Source organism: Homo sapiens, chromosome 8 (assembly GCF_000001405.40).
Source record: "Homo sapiens chromosome 8, GRCh38.p14 Primary Assembly".
NCBI classification, from domain to species: domain Eukaryota; kingdom Metazoa; phylum Chordata; class Mammalia; order Primates; family Hominidae; genus Homo; species Homo sapiens.
This window is the reverse complement of record NC_000008.11, coordinates 55,241,026-55,259,925: the sequence shown is the minus strand read 5'-3', so window position 1 is coordinate 55,259,925 and position 18,900 is coordinate 55,241,026. Positions and strand designations below refer to the sequence as shown.

The 18,900-nt window shown below is 40.1% G+C and overlaps 1 protein-coding gene across 1 annotated transcript in view, besides 1 other annotated feature; it reads right to left on the bottom strand.

Annotated features, from left to right (window-relative positions):
* The window catches only part of XKR4 (XK related 4), a 440,027-nt gene that overhangs the window by 282,129 nt on the left and 138,998 nt on the right, over positions 1-18,900 (bottom strand). The gene's annotated exons all lie outside the window — the stretch shown is intronic.
* Positions 314-1,513: an enhancer, noted in NCBI's record as "BRD4-independent group 4 enhancer chr8:56170973-56172172 (GRCh37/hg19 assembly coordinates)". NCBI's record gives its function as "activates an origin of replication core promoter dependent on BRD2, P300/CBP, MED14 and CDK7 cofactors, and independent of BRD4, by STARR-seq in HCT116 cells {active_cell/tissue: HCT116}" and the evidence as "EXISTENCE:reporter gene assay evidence [ECO:0000049][PMID:35650434]".

Genomic DNA, 18,900 nt, shown 5'->3' with positions numbered 1-18,900 from the left:
GCAGTGGGTGGGTGGGTGAGTGTGTGGTGTGGAAATTTTAGATAGGACGGCTAGGGCAGGTCTCAGTGAATTTGAATAAAGGCCAGAAGGAAATTAGATTCATTAAGTTTAATTAGAATTTCCCATTTCTAAATGTAATAAAGTCTGTTAGGATTCAGGACTATTAATTAGCATAAGCCTTTCGGTTCTCCACTGAAAAGTGCCATAAAATGACCAGATAGGTAGATCAATAGGGCTAATAATTTACATCATTACAGTGCAAGAGCCTCGGGAGAGATGAATCACTTCCCTCTGCTCCAGGAATGTGCTTCACCCTCACGCACATCAAGCCAGGGTCCCCACATCAAGCGAGGGTCCCCATGCACTCCAGCCTCTCAGAGCTGTGGAGTGTGGGCTCTGGAGTCAGTTACAACGAAGGGCAAACCCCAACCTCACCACTTCTTCAATCGCTGTAACCTTGGGCACTCTCCGTCATTCTCTGTACCTCAGCAACTGATCCATCATAGGGTAGGAGAACGAAATCAACTCATATCGCACTAGTAGCTGCCATTCCTATCATGTTTGTTAATGCCCGATATTAAGTCCTTTACATACATTATCTAATTTAATCTTCATGATCAAACTAGGTAATTTCACCACCATTTCACAAACACGGAAGCCAAGGGTTACAATGGCTAAATTCTCAAGAACAACCTGAACCCAGAATCATGGATCTAAAGCTGCGAGGCCCACCCCAGGTGCGTCCCCGCGCAGTGGATGCCGGTGCTATGATCTGCAGTGCAGCAGTGCTTGGCCAGTATGAAGTTCACCTTCTCTTACCTCATGCACTGTGTTGTAGAACATGGTGGCTTAAAGAGTCCCAGGCATTTTCCCTGCAGGCAGGGACACGAATGCCTGAGCTTCCCCTGCCTTGAGCCTGTCTTTCTTCTGTGTCCTGAAATTCAGTCTCTTGTGATGAAGACATTCAAGCCACCATCCATCCAAAAGAAGGAGTATTCTTAAATCTGAGAAGATCCTAAAACCAATCTTGGTTTTGCCCAGCTTTTCCAACTCCCCGGTGGCTGCACATTCTCTTTCTGGGGCCACAGGTCCTGAACTTTTGAGTTTGGGGCTTGGAGGGGACAGCAAGGAAGTGACAGCAATGCTAGAGGCCTATGCCCCACGGGAGTGCAGATTTAATCCTTAAATAAGAATAACAATACAAATGATCATTAGCAAGCTATTAAATGATGATGCTTTTAATTAAAAAATAATCAAATCTGTTTAAATAATAATAATGATTGCTCAGTATGGAGTGTTGACCCATTACCAGACATCAGACTAAGTGCTTTGCTGAAATTTTTCCCATTTCACCGGACAGCTCTGTGAGGTGGACATTGATGTCATTCCCGCTTTAGGTTTCTCATAACTGTAGGAAGGCAGGGAGGGTCTCCAGGGATTATAGGAATTTAATTGACTTGAGCAATCAGCCTGTTTTACAGCCTTCTGTCATGCAGTGGTTTTAGAAACAGCTTCTGACAGACCCCAGCAATTTATAGATGAACCCAAGTGAACGTTCCTCTTTACCTTGCTAAAGCCTCCCTGTGATCCATGTGCAGGCCTAATCACTCACTGCATCTGAGCAACTGGGCTCCTCCTCTACACGTGAGGATGCACCCAAACCTCTCTTCCCTCCCCATTGCTCTGTAAAACCTGTCTGTCGCTTTCCCTCGGGAAGACACTGCTTTGGAGGATATACCCAGTGTCCCCCTTCCTTGTGCCAAGTAATAAAACCACTGAGCAAAACCTGCATTCTCATGGAGAGTTGTTTGTTGCTCACCAGTCATAGGTACCCTGTTTTTTTCAGTAACATAACTGAGACACAGCTGTTAGATGAGGTGCCTGGGGTCACCAGCTCAGGACTCAGCACTGGGGCTGGAATCCAGTCCAGAGCCCACGGTCTGAGCTATTTCACTGACTGTTTCATCTTGTGTGGCTCCTGCTGGATTCCCACTGGGGGCAGGAAGAAGCCAACAGAAAGGCAACCTCAGAGGAGAGAACAGAATTTGTGTATGAAGAAAACAAATATGACCTGAGATACATTTTAGATGTTGGAGGGGCTCATAGAAAACACCGGAATGCAAAAATCAATCGTTTTCCTCTTTTCAAACCCTGGAAATGTGTTTCCTTTATTTGAGAGTGAAAAGCCACAGTATCAGTTCAATATTAATAAAGTGTCACATAACTAAACATACTCCTGAAAGTTTAAAATGCAAACCCATGAGTATTTAGTATACACATATAATATTGATTCTGCATATATTTGCATAAAAGTTTAAGTTTTTGAACTTAAAGCAGAAAGGAAACATACTGCTATAGGGTTTTCATTCCAGATTGCAGATGAGTGGCCAGGATTGCTTTGAAATTCCCAGGAGCAGGAACTCTTTTTCTTCTCTTAAGTACATGCCCTTTCTCTCTCTTTCTCTCTCTCTCTCTCTCATTTTCTCCCCTCGTCCCTTCCTCTCTCTGAATTGCTCTTTCTTCTCTTTCTCCTCCACTCTGCTCTCTTTTTTCATTTCTGCCTCCATCTTTCTCTTTAGAAATATCTATTTTTAAATTTTCAACTGTGGATATATATTTATTATATGAACTCACTTGATGCCCTGTCCTTTATTTCAGACTTCGTGAGTTGACTCTGTCTAATTCTTAAGGAAGCCTTAGAATATGTAATGAAGCTATATATGGGCTTTAATCTGCTCCTGTTTGGATCAGCTTCCTCCTTACATTATGAAGCTGTGTGCATGGTCTGAATGTTGGTGTTCCCCCAAAATTCCTATGTTGGAACCTAATACGCAATGTGATGGTATTAAGAGATGAAGGCTTTGGGAGTGATTAAGTCAGGAGGGCTCCACCCTCATGAATGGGATCAGTACCCTTACAAAAGAGGTGGAAAGGATGCAGCAAGTAGGTGCCATTTATGAAGAATGGGCCCTCACCAGACACCACATCTGCTGGACCCTTGATTTTGAACTTCCCAGCCTCCAGAAGTGTGAGCAATATATTTCTGTTATTTATGCGTTACCCAGCCTAAGAAATTTTGTTATACAGCCAAATGGACTAAGACACCATGTCAACCCAGGCGTGGTTTATGCCACAGAACCATCTCAGAAGTAAAACTTCTCATCTTCCAGGTGCAGATGACCTGACTGAGACTCTATTTTAAATCTTACCTTTGAGGTTTCAGCTCCACCACCTTTAGCATTTAGTAGGCATCTCAGACTTGCCTCATCCCCCTACCTCTGAAATCCCATTCCTCCATCAGCATTCTCTCTCTCAATGGAGAAAATACCCTTACATCTAGTCATGCAAATGAAGAACTTAGACTCTTCCCTCAGCTCAACTCTAACATCCCATTAATTACCAACTTCTGCTGATATTGTTTCCTAAATGTTTCCCAAATTACTATCTCCTTTCCATCCCAACTTCAATGCCTTGGTTTCCAGTTTCCTGGACTAATTGCAAATGCAGCCACTGAATAGTTTCCCAGAACCCAGTCTCATCTTTCTCAAATCCATTCTCCATACAGCCACCAAGGGGATTCATACAAAATGCAATCTGGCCATGCCATTCTTTGGTTTAAATTTTTTCAAGGTACCAGTGAAAGTTCAGAATAAAGTTCAAGTTCTTCAATAAGATCCATAAGACCCAAGTCCTCAGTCTCAACTTCCTTCATTCTCAGCCTCACACTTTACCTTCTAGCAACATAAGACTCTATGAAGTCTCCACCTAATTTTGTGAAGTATCCTTTTCCTGGAATACTTTTACCCTGCCTTCCTCAGCCTCAGCTCATCCTTCAGCTCCCCTGAGCTATTAATCCTTTTAACTCTGCCTAGATACAACCCCTAGAAAAGGGGCATCCCTTTTCTACTCCAGGGCTTGACGCACCCCGGCATCCTAGACACACCTCTATCATTGCACAAATCTCCCTCTGTTGGAATGATTGGACGATGTGTCTCTTGTACTATTCTTCTGTAAGCTCATTATGGGCAGGAAACATACCCTTTGTCTACCATCTTCAGCACCTACAACTCTGCCTGGCAGACAACGGACACTCATTTGTATCGCACCAGCTCTGACCACAGGCAATTTGTCTATCACAGCTCATGTAATTTATGACTTCACAAACTTAAACAAAGAGCTCCTTGCTAATCTCTTAAGGTTAACTGTCTCCTATTTGTGTAGTTTTTCTCGAGGGGCTTACTTTTATGTTTAATTACAATTCTTGTACATTTGTATGTGTGCAGATATATAAATATAATTATTATTATTTAACATCAGTTTTTAGATTTGGTTGTTCATTTATACACTAAGCATACCCTGATCACTTTCTTTATGCCTAAGCATCACTCTAAGTGCTGAGAATCCAAAGACAAAAGACCCAGTCTTCGCCTTCATGAAATTCACAATAAATTATTTATTATATTAATTTGGTAATTGGATGAAAATAAAAAGTTATTGGGATAAATGCTGGAAATTGTGTGGGAAATTATGATGATAGCTAGCAGACAGTAAGTACCTAATTTTTAAAATACTGCATTCATTGACTCCTCATTGTATACTGTTGTAGGCACTTTCTATGTTTTTTCTTTATTTCTGACTGTAGGCTCTGAGAAGTAAAATAACTTATCTAAGGCCACACCGCTAGTAAAATTCTAAGTCAGGTCTGACAGATTTCCAAACCCCAGGCACTCTACCATCCAGAGCCAGAAAAGAGAACATGTTCATAGATAAGAGTTTTCTCTAAAAAGCTCATGAATGTAATTGTGGAGACATACAGGTATTTACTGGAAATTTTGCACTGATACTCAAGGAAGTTGTGCAGAATAATTAAAAGCCTATTTGTTTTGCTTGGCTTTAGCTTAAATTCGGTGCACTGGGTGTGGCAATGCTGATTCTTTCATAGCATCCGGAAAGCATCAGCTTGGTTGTCGTGCATGACATCCGCTAACAGGGAAAGTGTATCATGATTTCAGAATATAATTCATGAGTAGACAAAATCTTTCAATATTGGGGGCCAGTGGGGAGAAATAGAAAGAGGAGTCTTTGGTAGTCAGGAAGTTTTTAACCCACAAATAAGTCAGTTCGAACCTGTGGGAAATCAGGTTGAGCCTGGGCTTCATTCCCTGAGGCAGAGGCCACTGCATGTGGGGAGGTGAAATGACAGGCTGACTCTAGAGAGCATGCGGTTCTAGGGTTCCCCGAACAGTTTGGCATATCGTTCCCCAGCCTCCAGGCACAACCTGACCCTCTGCTCAGTGCCTTTCTAGCATCAGGAACGAGACTGTCTAGGTGCAGTTCTGAGATCGACGCTTCCTTTATCAAACCGTGAACATTCCTTTCTAGTCAAAAAAAGGATCACGAGTTCCATGAGATTGTTTAGCAAGACACTGAAAAAGGTCATTTATAGATTTTGCCTAGAAAAAGAAAAGCACTTGAAGTTTGTGCTTTATCCTGTACTCTCTGAACTGCCACACGCCCAATCCATGACAACCGTGGGCCATGGATAAGAGAGCACCAATTGTGACAGGATTACATACAGTGATTATTTGCTTGGAACAAACAGTTACAGTGTGTTTAAAATGTGTTCAGGTCCATTCTCACAGCACCGTACAAGTGAATAATCATTTTTCTTATTTGGAATGGAAGAGAAGGGCTGTGAGAACAGAAAGAGCATACCTTATCTCTCTCTCTATATATATCTCTCTCTTTCTTTTTGACACAACATAAGAAGAAAGGCTCGATTAAAGAATTAATCTATGTGAATGTAACAACTTCACTACAGCAAGCGCTCTCATTTGTTGAAGAGAAAAATACGACCAAGCACAAGACAGAGAGGAGAGGCAAGGTGTACAAGAAAATAGGCGACAGGCCAGGCACAGTGGCTCGCGCCTATAATTCCAGCACTTTGGGGGGCCAGGCAGGTGAAGCGCTTACACTCAGGAGTTTGAGACCAGACTGGGCAATGTGGTGAAACTCTGCCTCCACAAGAAACACAGAAATTCCTGAGGCATGGTGACGTGCACTTACAGTCCCAGCTACTAGGGAGGATTGCTTGAGCATGGGAGGTGGAGGCTGCAGTAAGCCATGATCATGCCACTGCATCCCAACCTGGGCAACAGAGTGAGACCCTGTCTCAAAAAAAAAAAAAAAAAAAAGAAAAGAAAATATGAAATAATCTGTGAGAGACCAGCTCTGAACCCCACAACACTGTCACAAAAACAATAACCCCTTTGCCTCCTTGGCTTTGATCTTCTCTAAATAAAATGTGACTTGCTGCCTGCATTAAAGTTCATCATAAATCCTTAAGGTAAGAATCTTGGAACAAGACACAATCTATGCAGTGCTGGAAAAGAAATATTACAGAACTGCTAGCCTTTCATTTTTCACAATGGTTCGTTGGAAAAATTATGGGGTTGGATATTATTCTATTGCCACTTTAATTGTAGCTATAAAAATAAACCCAGTAGAAATTATAGATGAAGATTACAAAAAAAAGTGTGGCTTCCCTGCCATCTATGTAGATAAATGGTATTAAATCCATCGTCTTTGTAAAGAAGCATATCAGGAAAGCAACACAGAGGCATGTCGCCATTTAATTGCATTTGGCTTCCATGGTGGTGAAAAGTTTTAGTCATATTTTTTTTTTTACTACCATGGAGCTGAGGAAGGAAGAGAATATTTACGTCGGAAGGAAAAGGCATAGCATAGTAAGTAAAATTTTCAGATCACCCAAATGCTCCATTTTCAAAACAGTTTCTGTTTCTACATACAAAACTCTTCAACAAAGCAGGTAAAATCAAGCAAATGCATTTGATTTGTGTTCTTTCCACTCCCTGTGCTTTCCGGTATCATATCCTACTCTCCCTGGTTTTTGGAAAGCTGGAGGCCAAGATGACTTTTCTTCCCTATGTTCCATCCCCTGCCTGAATATAGCATAAGGCAGGACAAGCTGAAGGCAACGAGCCCCAGAAATAGCCCATGCATATCTCATTTGGTCTGTACTCTTTCTGATTTTGATCAACCTTCATTCTCTGCCATTCCTTCTGCCTCTGCCTCTCCCACTGGACAAAGAATCAAGCTAAGTCCCAGCTCCTCACAGACTTTGAGCAGGGTCTCTTTCTTTTGAGGCTTTCCCATGGACTGACACATCAGAAAGCAGTAAACTACACACCTTCTGGCATAAACAATGCATGTCCTCATTTACATATGGCCATCGAGGCAGTGTATCCTGGGGATGGCCCAGTTCTGTCAAAGCAAAACCTGAGTCAGTTTATGCATAAGAATGTGGACTGACAAATTTTATGCATTTCAGATTATTATTTGCACCAACTCCTAATTTCCCATCTATGGCAAATGAATCAAGGTCGGGCGGCGTCTTGTGTTGGTTGCCCTCCTCCCCAGCCAGCTACCCGTGTATTCAGCAGACATTTAAGTGTCTGCTTTGTTCCAAGAGCAGGCAGTCAAAATACACAATAAAACAAAAATAGTCCTTGCCTCTCAGTGTACATGTTTGAGATCCTTCAATTTTAGGAGATAAAAGGCAATGGTTTATACAGTTTCACATCTGCATTTTTTAAATAGGAGGTTTCAGCAGACTTGCCCAACTTGATGGCAAGAATCTAACTGAAATGAAGACATCATAGACAAATTTTGCTTTTCTTATGCTTAGTATACAGTTGCTGCCACCCTGAAAAACCCTCTTTCTTAAACCATTGGGACACACTGAATCTGGTTAGAGAAGTTTTCTACAAATGCACATAATTTAAATCCATTGGAGGGTGAATAACATTTTTACAAAGCTTTATCCATTCTAATCCAAGGTGGGACAAATAAGCATTTTCCATTTGAGAAGAAACTGATACTTCTGTAGAAATACAAATGCTCTGGTACTCATGGGATTGGCCAGTCAGTATAATATGCTGTGAAACAATTGCTATCTTGGCCAATAATGACAAATAAAACAAATGCATGATAAAAAGTTACCAGATATTAGAGTAAGGCAGGCTTGAGAATGAAAAGGTTAATGTATTTGTTTTAGAGACCGATAAATTATGTTGGCATAGTGTTTCACTGGTGGCTCAAGCCAAACATTTGCGGAGTCATAAAGCAAAATGAATGCTATCTCATTACTGTATTTCAAAAGAGGCATAAGCGACAACGGTATTAGAATCACAACTTCATGTTCATTATGATCCTCCACACCTACTGTCTTAAAAGGAAATGAACTTCCTTCATGGTTTAGAGATTTAGAGTTTTGACTTAAAAAAAATTCTGGATATTTTTATTCATTAAGCTTCCAAATCTTTCATAGGAAATAGCTACTTACTATTTTCCAAAGCTATATGGATCTATAGGACCCATTCTATCCCAGTCACATAACTAATTATCTTTCAATGGTCTTTATGTTTAAAAAAAGTTAATAGGCAGGCAGTGGCAGCAGACAAAATTTTATATAAACCTGCAAAAGAGCCAACTGCCACTTATATGCAATTTGAAATTCAGCAACTCCTCTAAAATTCAGCAGCTGAAAGCTGTCTCTGACTCCGTTAATCTTGACCTTAAATGAATGTGGGCGATTTTCATAGTTCTGGATGACACCTGAAAAGTAATAACATTGGTAAAAACAGGTTACAGAAAAGGACTGTATTCTTACCTATGCCAATGTCTATACCTTACCTCTATTATACCTACACCTACACCGATACTTAAATATACACCTACACGCATATCTATACCTACACATACACCTATATCTACACTACACCTGTAACTGTACTTACGTCTACGCCTATGCCTATACTATACCTATACCACACATATATCTATACGTACACCTATACCTACAGCTTCTTGAGGGTGTACTTCGTCCCTGTTGGATTCCTAGCACTCTCAAAGTGTGCTTTATAAATTGTGTGTATTCTGTGAATACATGGTTCTCCCATAGATAAGGATGAATTATGTTGACCACTGAAAATGGTCTAACACCAATTTGCTGTCTAAGTGCCTAACAACAGGGTTTTCCATGGTTTTAAGGTAAAGAATCATTGATTATTTGAATTATTCAAAAAGTATGAGTAAATTTCCTAGTATATTTTAAGTGTTGTCTTCACTTCTATTTTAATTGAACATTCTAAAATTGACATTCACAGTTGCTAGTACATTTTTTTCCATTTCAAATAAGATGATGAGCAGCCAAAGAATGTCTTAGATATTAGAAAGTGCAAATGGCAAAATTGCCTCTATTAAATATCTTATTAATTCAGGAGAGTTCACAGCCAGTTAGGCCAGGTAGGATGTACAGGATGAGCTGAAATGAGAAGCATGGGTCAGGACCACACAAGGTGATTCCAAATGTCCTTGTAGGAGTTAGGGAACACAGCCAGCTCCCTTAGAGAAAAGCCTCTTATGAAGCCCTAAATTAGACATCCAAAGGTCCAGAATCAGGGCAGCCAGAGCTAGAATGTAAAAAATAAGTAAATAAATCAAAGGAGCACTGTATGACCTGCTTTTTTAGATATTTCTGAGGATCTATGGGCTTCTTTACAATAAATGTGCTTCATTCTATTATGTTATTGTCAGAAGAGAGATAATTTGATAATTTTGACTTTATATTTGGAAACTGACCTGCTGCAGCCCTTTTGAAAAGAAAATGTGTTCTTAGATTCACTTAAAGCTATCCTTTAGCTGTCTCGGAAGTTCACTTCTTAGGAAGCCATAGCAACTTTCTAGTGAAACCATCAGGAACCTAAGATCCTTTTCCTGAAAGAATTATAAAACTTACAAATGACTTTGAACAATGTATATTAGCTTAAATTCCATTAAGATTTTAGTGGATAAGAAAAGGCTGACACAACTTCCTAATGCTAGGAAAAAAGATGTACACTTAATTTTTCAGATAATTTCTGTGCTTCACAGGGCACTAAAAAAAAATAAGTAAGTAGTTTCCTGGTTACTGAAGTTTCAGTTTCCTACTCACATTCTTATACATTAGAGTACCGCAAATCAAATGGTGCTATTTAACACTGTGTAATTCTCTATATAAATGAAAGTAGTCAATATGGATGTGAAGTAAGAATGACAAGAGTTGACACATTAATTCCACAGAATACTAGACAATCCTAAATAAGACTCTAAATTTGAGTATGGCTACCTCATTGGCTTATTGAAAACAAAATCTTTCTAATTGACCTTTACATAGGTCTTTGTGAATATTTTTTGGTGCATCTTCAACTGATGCTGCATTTGATGGAGCTGCCAAACAACTGGAAAGAACATAATCTATTACTAGAAAGTTTCCAAAGCTTAAAACTTGAATGACAATTTGAAACCGTAAATCCATAAAGCATGTAAGCAGCACCATGCACTTGGCCCAGGGATGAACTCCTGATGAAAAGGGAGTCAACCCATTGGGTGGACAGGGTCGATCATGAGAACTGGCAATTCAGATTCGACTAGGAGGTCACATGAAGTTGAGCCTAGGCAACTATATTGACCTTGTAACTTGAGTAGATAAAGCGTCTACAGAAAGGAGACTGATGTTGCTAAACACCCTCCAAAAGAGAAGACATAAACCCCAGGTGGCTCCAGCAAAAGGAGCAGAGGGCGAGAGAGTCATTGCTTTGTCTCCAGTGACTTCCCAATTTCAGGTTTTAGCTCTTCATGAGTACTGTTTATATTCGTGTCCTTGAATTGCAGGAAATACCCCTTTCAACAATGATCTTTTTTTGCTTAAGTTGCTTTGAGAGGGCTTCATTTTGCTATAGCCAAACAGTATCTGACCAGAATAAGAACTTCATGAAAGCAGGGATATTGCCTGTTTTAACCATGACTTAGGAACCATACTTAAAGATCAACAAAAATTGTTAATGAATTGACTACAGAGAGAAAGAGAGAGAAATTCTGCCAAAGGAATCTGCGAAGGATAGATGGTGAGGATTCCATCTTCCTTTGCCAAATCAAGGTCCCAGAAGGCCCGTCTTTATGTCTCCACTGAGACATGACAGTGAAGTAGAATAAGGAAAAAAACAAGTCACAAGTCTACGGGATGTCACATTGCCCTGGGACACTCTGAGACTCCAGCCTGCAGGCAGGAGACCCCAGACAGGGAAAAGCCGAGAAATACAGAAAAAAAAAGTTTAACTTACATGAAAGAATATTAAGTTTGAAAATATGCTGAAACATAAATCTGCTTATATAAGAATATTTACATTATTTACATTCATGTGGCCCTATGAAACATGCAAAAAAAAAGTTAGAAAACCTCTGAAGATAAATGAAGCAGAGTGAATATATGAGTACTTTGAGAAGTAGAAGGGCCATTTATAAACACAAGGCCCTGTATAAACACTACTAGTGTTACGTATTGTTTTGATATATGATAAAATATTTATCACTGACTGAGAAACATGGAGGTACAAGCTGTGTGTAATGCAATCTGACTTTCAGACTTGGCTTACACGTCTGCTAATGCTGAGCTATGATGCAGGTAGAGGCAATTACATGCTTGCATGAATGTCAAATGGCAGAAACTAAATTACAGAACAGAGGATGAATGCACTTTGGTGGGGATGAATCAGCTATTTAGAAAGCCTATATAGTATTGTATGCCTATGAAAAAGAAACTAAAAATATTATTAGAAACTGGGTTCCTTGTGATGAATGATAAATGTTCCAGGAAGAGGCTTCCAGCCTCTCTCCATTGGATCTTTGGTGGGGGTGAATAAGAAAAAATAGGCTGGGCATGGTGGCTCACGCCTGTAATCCCAGCACTTTGGGAGGTCAAGGTGGGTGGATCACGAGGTCAGGAGATCGAGACCATCCTGGCTAACACAATGAAACCCCATCTCTACTAAAAATACAAAAAATTAGCTGGGTGTAGTGGCACGCACCTGTAGTCCCAGTTACTTAGGAGGCTGAGGCAGGAGAATTGCTTGAACCTGGGAGGCAGAGGTTGCAGTGAGCCGAGACTGTGCCACTGCACTCCAGCCTGGAGACAGAGCAAGACTCTGTCTCAAAAAAAAAAAAAAAAAAAGAAAGAAAGAAAGAAAGAAAAAGAAAAATTAAAATTAATAATGTAAGTGGTTCTGTACTGGTTACTGAAAGAGTAGCCCAGTAGGGCTCTGGAACTCGTAAGAGAAAGGATAAAGCACTGTGATTGTAATTGTGAACTGCAGAAGAAACCAGATCTTAAGTCTGGCAGAAAATGTCAAGAAAGGGAATGAGATCATGAAGGTGACTCGGGAGTTCAAGCACCATCTCCCTGCATGTTTAGCAACATTTTTTGTATCAAGAGAATATAGGACTCATAGTTGTAAGATCCAGCTTTCTATTGGCTATATCACCTGTTGGTCATATGGGCTCAAATAAGTCATTTAATCCCTCTAAAACTCAGTTTCTTTATTGGTAAATTAATGATGATGACGATGGTTTTGCTCAAAATAAGGATTTGTAAAAATCAAAAGAGCTAATGTTTATACAAGTACTTTGAAAACCAATGTCATATAAAGTCTATTAAATAATTTAAAATAATTCCTTTAAGAAGTCCTATAGCAAAGCTGAGGTCAGGCAATTTGGGAGGCAGTTTAAGGGGCAGGAAAAAGGGGCCTTCTCCTAGATGATTATAGGAAACTTTCCAGCTCATAGCTTCTCCGTCTTCCTGCCCACACTTACCACTGGAACCTTGGGCTTCATCTGACAATTGGAGGTGCATTTTCACTTTCAGAACTCCCCCTGCTATTCATGTTAACCTAATTTCTCCTCTTTGGCTTAAAAATATTGGAACATGAGGAAGAAGAAGAAAAAGAAACAATACTTGGGATGGTTTACCTTAGCTCTGGTTTCCTAAGGGAGTACACTTGTCTTTCCCTTTTCCTCCTGGCTTGGCTTTGTCATGACTTCTCCAGACACTAAGACATCTTATCTCTCTTTCTGCAGGTCTGTACTCAGCCGGCCCCCAGGGATTTTCCTCGAAGAAATCCAGAGCACAGTGAATAAAGAGGGATCTCCACGACTCTCTGGGAGCTTACCTGTGGCAGCTCTCATTATTCTCCTGTTACAAATGAGGAAGTTTTGTGGCTAAAAGGTTGAGTGATTGATTCAAAGAACGACTCTGAGTCATTGATGAAGCTGAAAATGGAATCCAAAGCCCCTCAAAGTAAACTAAAAAAAAAAAAAGACTTTAATGGGGTCTTTCTTTTTGAGACCCCAAAACCTTACAGAATACCCATGACTCTCAATAGTTTTTGGAGAAATCTGCTTTATCCATCCCAGATTGAAAAACAAAGGAAAACGTGCATGCTATTAGTTATATACTTAGTAAGTAGAAGAGAGATTTTCAAGGGCTTAGAATGAGGAAACTTTCTGTTCTATAAGCCACTCGGCTGACATGGCTGATCAGTACATTCAATTTGTCTGTAGGTACAAGTGATCACAAATAGATGAGACCAAGATGTTCTTTAATCCCTTTCCCCAAATTATGTTCTGGCTGGTGATACACTGGTGAAGCCACATCATACTGCCTTGTGATAAGCTCTTCTCTCTCTCTCCTTGCTATCTATGCTTCCCTAGTGGCTGCCCTCAGATTGTGTCCACTGCCCCTGAGGCACTGAGGAGCAGAAGATTCCTATCCATACCAACTTTGCTCTAAGTCCTCTTTCAGACCCTTGTGATTTCTTCAATTCAGCAGTATACACAAGATATGGTGTTGGGTGTTAGGGATGCAGCAAAAAACAAAGTAGGCACCATCCCTAAATAAAAACACAAAGGCAGAGGCTATGAAAGGGGAGAAGGACAGAGTCTCACTCTGTCACCCAGGCTATAGTTCAGTGACACAATCTTGGCTCACTGCAATCTCTGCCTCCTGGGTTCAAGCGGTTCTTGTGCCTCAGCCTCCTGAATAGCTGGGATTACAGGCATGCGCCACCACGCCCAGCTAATTTTATTTATTTATTTATTTAGTAGAGACAGGGTTTTGCCATGTTGCCCAAGTTGGTCTTGAACTCCTGGCTTCAAGTAATCCACCCACCTCAGCCTCCTAAAGTGGTGGGATTACCAGCATGAGCCATGGCACCCAGCCTACATTGGGAGGCATTTCTAAGACACAGTTAACTGGAGCTGATGATGGGTTGAATGTGAAGTGAGAGACAGATTGGAATCAAAGACATCAAAACTCTCAGACTGATTCTAACAGGGGTCCTCAGTTCCTCACTGACATGGGGAGACTCTTGGAGCAGCAGGCTTCTGTGGAAAATTTAAGAATTCTGCTTTGCACTTGGCAAGTTTGACATCCAAGTAGAGATACTATACAGGCAACAAGACCAGGGAAAAGAGGACAGCAAAGAAAACAGCGATGCAATCAGTGAGCTAAAGATTATGTGAGAGCCAGAGACAGTTAGCAGGGAAAGGTATGGACCCTTTATTTAAGCTGCTATACCACACAGTAGGATTATTTAAATATACATATTATATTAATATAGGATTATTAAATATATATGTAATTTTCCCCCGCTACAAAAAGAATATGAATGAGCTTCTGCACAGCAAAAGAAACAGAGTAAACAACCTACAGAATGTGAGAAAATTTTTGCAAACTATGCATCCATCAAAGGTCTAATACCAGAATCTATGAGGAACTTAAACCAACTAGCAAGCAAAAAACAAGCCCATTAAAAAGTAGGCAAAGGGCCGGGCATGGTGGCTCATGCCTGTAATCCCAGCACTTTGGGAGGCTGAGGTGGGTGGATCATCTGAGGTCAGGAGTTCGAGACCAGCCTTGCCAACATGGTGAAAAATATAAAATCTCTACTAAAAAATATAAAAATTAGCCAGGCATGGTGGCAGGTGCCTATAATCTCAGCTACTCAGGAGGCTGAGGCAGGAGAATTGCTGGAACCCGGGAGGCAGAGATTGCAGTGAGCCAAGATCGCGCTATTACACTCCAGCCCAGGCGACAACAGTGAGACTCTATCTCAAAAAAAAAAAAAAAAAAAAATGTTGGCAAAGGACATGAACAGACACTTTTCAAAAGAAGATATACATGCAGCCAGCGAGCATATGAAAAAATGCTCAACATCACTATCATTAGACAAATGAAAATCAAAACCACAATGTGATGTCATCTCACATCAGTCAGAATGGATATTATTAAAAAGTCAAAAAATAACAGATGCTGGTGTGATTGCGGAGAAAAGGGAATGCTTATACACTGCTGGTGGAATGTACATTAGTTCTGCCATTATGGAAAGCAGTGTCGATTTCTCAAACAACTTAAAACAGAACTACCATTTGATCCAGCAATCCCATTATTAGGTATATACGCAAAGGAATATAAATATTTCTACCATAAAGACACATGCACATGTATGTTCATCACAGTACTATTCACAATAGCAAAAACATAGAATTAACCTAAATGCCCATCAATGGTAGACTGAATAAAGGAAATGTGGTACATATACACCATGGAATGCTACACAGCCATAAAAAAGAATGTGATCATGTCCTATGCAGCAACATGGATGGAGCTGGAGGCCATTATCCTGAGTGAACTAACGCAGTAACAGAAAACCAAATACCACATGTTCTCGCTTATAAGTGGCAGCTAAACATTGAGTACACGTAGACACAAAGAAAGGAACAAGAGACATGGGGTCTACTTGAGGCTGGAGGGTGAGAGGAGGGAGAGGATAGAAAAACTACTTATCTGTTACTAAGCTTATTACCTGCATGATGAAATAATCTGTATACTAAGCCCCTGTGACATACAATTTACCTGTATAACATACCTGCACATGTTCCCCTGAACCTAAAATAAAAATGTCTAAAAAGCTATAAAATACTCAAAGAAGAAAAATAAGAACCAGAATATTGGATATTTGGTTTTTTCAAAAGTAGCCACTGACTACTTTTTCCTAAATGAGCATGCACACGCACATAGAATAATTACTGTTGTGTTTATTTAGTGTTTATTGTGTGCGGCAGGTGCTGTGAATGCACTTGCACGCACTGTCTAGGTTATCCTTCATCGCTACCATGCAGGGAGATCCGACCGTCACCTTCCTCTTCCAGTTGTCCCTTGGCAGAGCTGTGTCTGGAACTCAAGTTTTTTGACTGCAGGGCCTGGACTTTGCCTACTTCTCTCTAGAGCCTTACAGAATTGCAATTAAAATGCACATATTGAGCAACAGGAACTCTCATTTATTGCTGGTGGGAATGCAAAATGTTAAAGCCACTTTGGAAGATAGTTTGGTAGTTTTTTACAAGGCTAAGCACACTCTCACCAACGGCCCAGCAATTGAGTTCCTTGGTATTTACCGAAATGAATTGAAAACTTATGTCCACACAAAAACTTGTACACAGATGTTTATAGCAGCTCTATTCATAATTGCTAAAACTTGGAAGCAACCGATGAAAAGATGGGGAGGAAACTTAGATGCATATTAATAGTTAAAGAAAGCCAATCTGAAAAGGTTACATCCTGTAAAATACTGAAAAAGGCAAAACTGTGGAGACTATAAAGAGATCAGTGGTTTTCAAGGGAGGGAAGGATGAATGGGTAGAGCACAGAGGATTTTTAGGCAGTGAGACTATTCTGTAAGATACTACAATGGTGGATACATGGCATTGTACATTTGTCCAAACCAGAACAATGTACACCACGAAGAGTGAACCTAAGGTAAACTATGGACTCTGGGTGATAATGATGTGTCAATTCAGGTTAGTCAACTGTAACAAATGTATTCCTCTGGAGGATGTTGATAAGTGGGGAGGCTGTGCATGTGCAGGGGTAGATGGTATATGGGAAACCTCTGTACTTGCTCTTCAATTTTGCTGTGAACATAAAACTGCTCTAAAAAATAAATGTAGTGAAAAAAGGAATACAACAAAAATAGGCCTATTGTCTTATAAGTTGCTTTACCCCCAGGTATTAGTTTTATTAAACATGACTTTGGTGATTTCATAGTTTACACGACTCAGATGTGCCATTATTTATCTGATCCACTTCTTATTTTTGGACTTTTAAAAACTTCACATCATAGTTTCCCTCATGTAACAGACAGCTCTCTGTAGAACTCTCTGGACACATCTCTGGTAATGCCCGCAGACTAGATCCGAGACGTAGCTCTGCACACATGCCTCCTCTGCGGCTCCCTGCCAACTGCCTTCTAAAGCCAGGGGCTAACTCAACATCCCGCTGTGGGGTGGGCACACGTCCCTTCTGTTGCCCACTCACCAACCTTCTGAGTGCTTATTTTTTTAATCGATGCCATTTTGAAAGTGATAATGGCATCTCATCAATTATTCTGTTTGCATTTACTTGATTTTTAGCAAACATCTTAAAATACTGTTATTTACTCTATATCCAATTTTGAACAAAGTGATTCAGAATCTTGTCTATGCTTCCTTCTTGCAGTGCCTTGTTACCTCCTCGCATTTCCTTTGTCACAGGTGATCCAAATCCTGAGTTCCAGTCTGTCTCCCTCAGAGACTCAGGAAGATGATAAACGCTGATGTGGCAGGGATGGAGCTGAGATAAGGCTGCTGTAGACGGGTTCCCACCAGACCCTTTGTACTCATAACCTTAAATTACACTGTCAGGAGAGAAGATTGCCAAGGAGATGCTGGTGCTGACTTCCACTCCAAAGTGGTGTCTCTGAAGAAACACATGCTAATCAGGACAAGAACAAAGCTTTTGAAACCTTATGGGGGACTAAAAAAGATTCAGATGTGATTAAGTTGAGGGGAAGCAGGAATGAGGCAAGTATTTATTTAATAGTGAATATATGAATGAATATGAGCTGCATTCATAGGTAAAATCTTCTGGCACTTAAACCATTCAGAATAAAAGGGTTTATTATTTTAAAATTATTTACATTTCAAGAAGAAATAATAACTAAAAGTTTAGCATGTACAGATTTATAAACACAGCTATACCCATAACATTATTATTATTATTATTGTCATCTTGCTGTTGCTACACAGAGCTAGGTTTATGTGCAGAGTTTAATCTGTACACTTGTCATCATTATTATAGTCTAGGTCTAATAGATATCATTCACTGAGTATCACTACCTGTTAGATGTTAAGCACTTTATGAACATTATCTCATCAGATTAAAATCCACCTCTGGAAATCTGAAACATCAAGGTAGGCAGGAAGGAAAGGTATTCACATCACATTCCTTAAGCCATATATGAGAAATAATGAAGGAGACCTAGGGGAATGATTGAAACCCTGAAATTCTAGTATTGAGATTTGGAAAGAAAAAGGTATGAAGCCAAATTTGGCTTATCAGAAGGCCAGAAATCCTCCTTTAGGCAGGAAACAACATACATATCAGTGCCAGGTACACTGAAGGCTCCTTGCATCACTTACTGCTGTCCCAGGAGTCCCTAGGCCAATACCCCAGGGATTGGTCATGTGCCTGGGCTGATGGACTGCAGTGAAGACAGAGAAAGTCTAGCTTTTCAGGGCTTAAAAAATAACTCTTATTCACTTTAATGATTAAAATGCTCCTGCAACTTAAAGAAAAGTGAGAACAGCTGCAATGCCAGGACCACAAAGGTTGCTGTAGGGCAGAAAAAACACTGAGTGTTTCATGAGGATAGGGATCTATGAGGGAAGAGAAACAGGAATATACAAGTTGCTCAATAAATTATTGTTGAAAGAATAAATGACTGAGTCCATGAATGCACGGGTTGAAAGTTCCAATAACAAACACTTGATGGGCTAGGAATAAAAAATCTACTGTGCACTCAAATGTCTGAGGTTAAGCAAAGTCAAATACACTAGTTTTGAAGGTTTCTTTTTTTAAAGTAGATGTGAGCACAGAAAGTTTGAAGCCTTTATTCTTAAAATAGACAG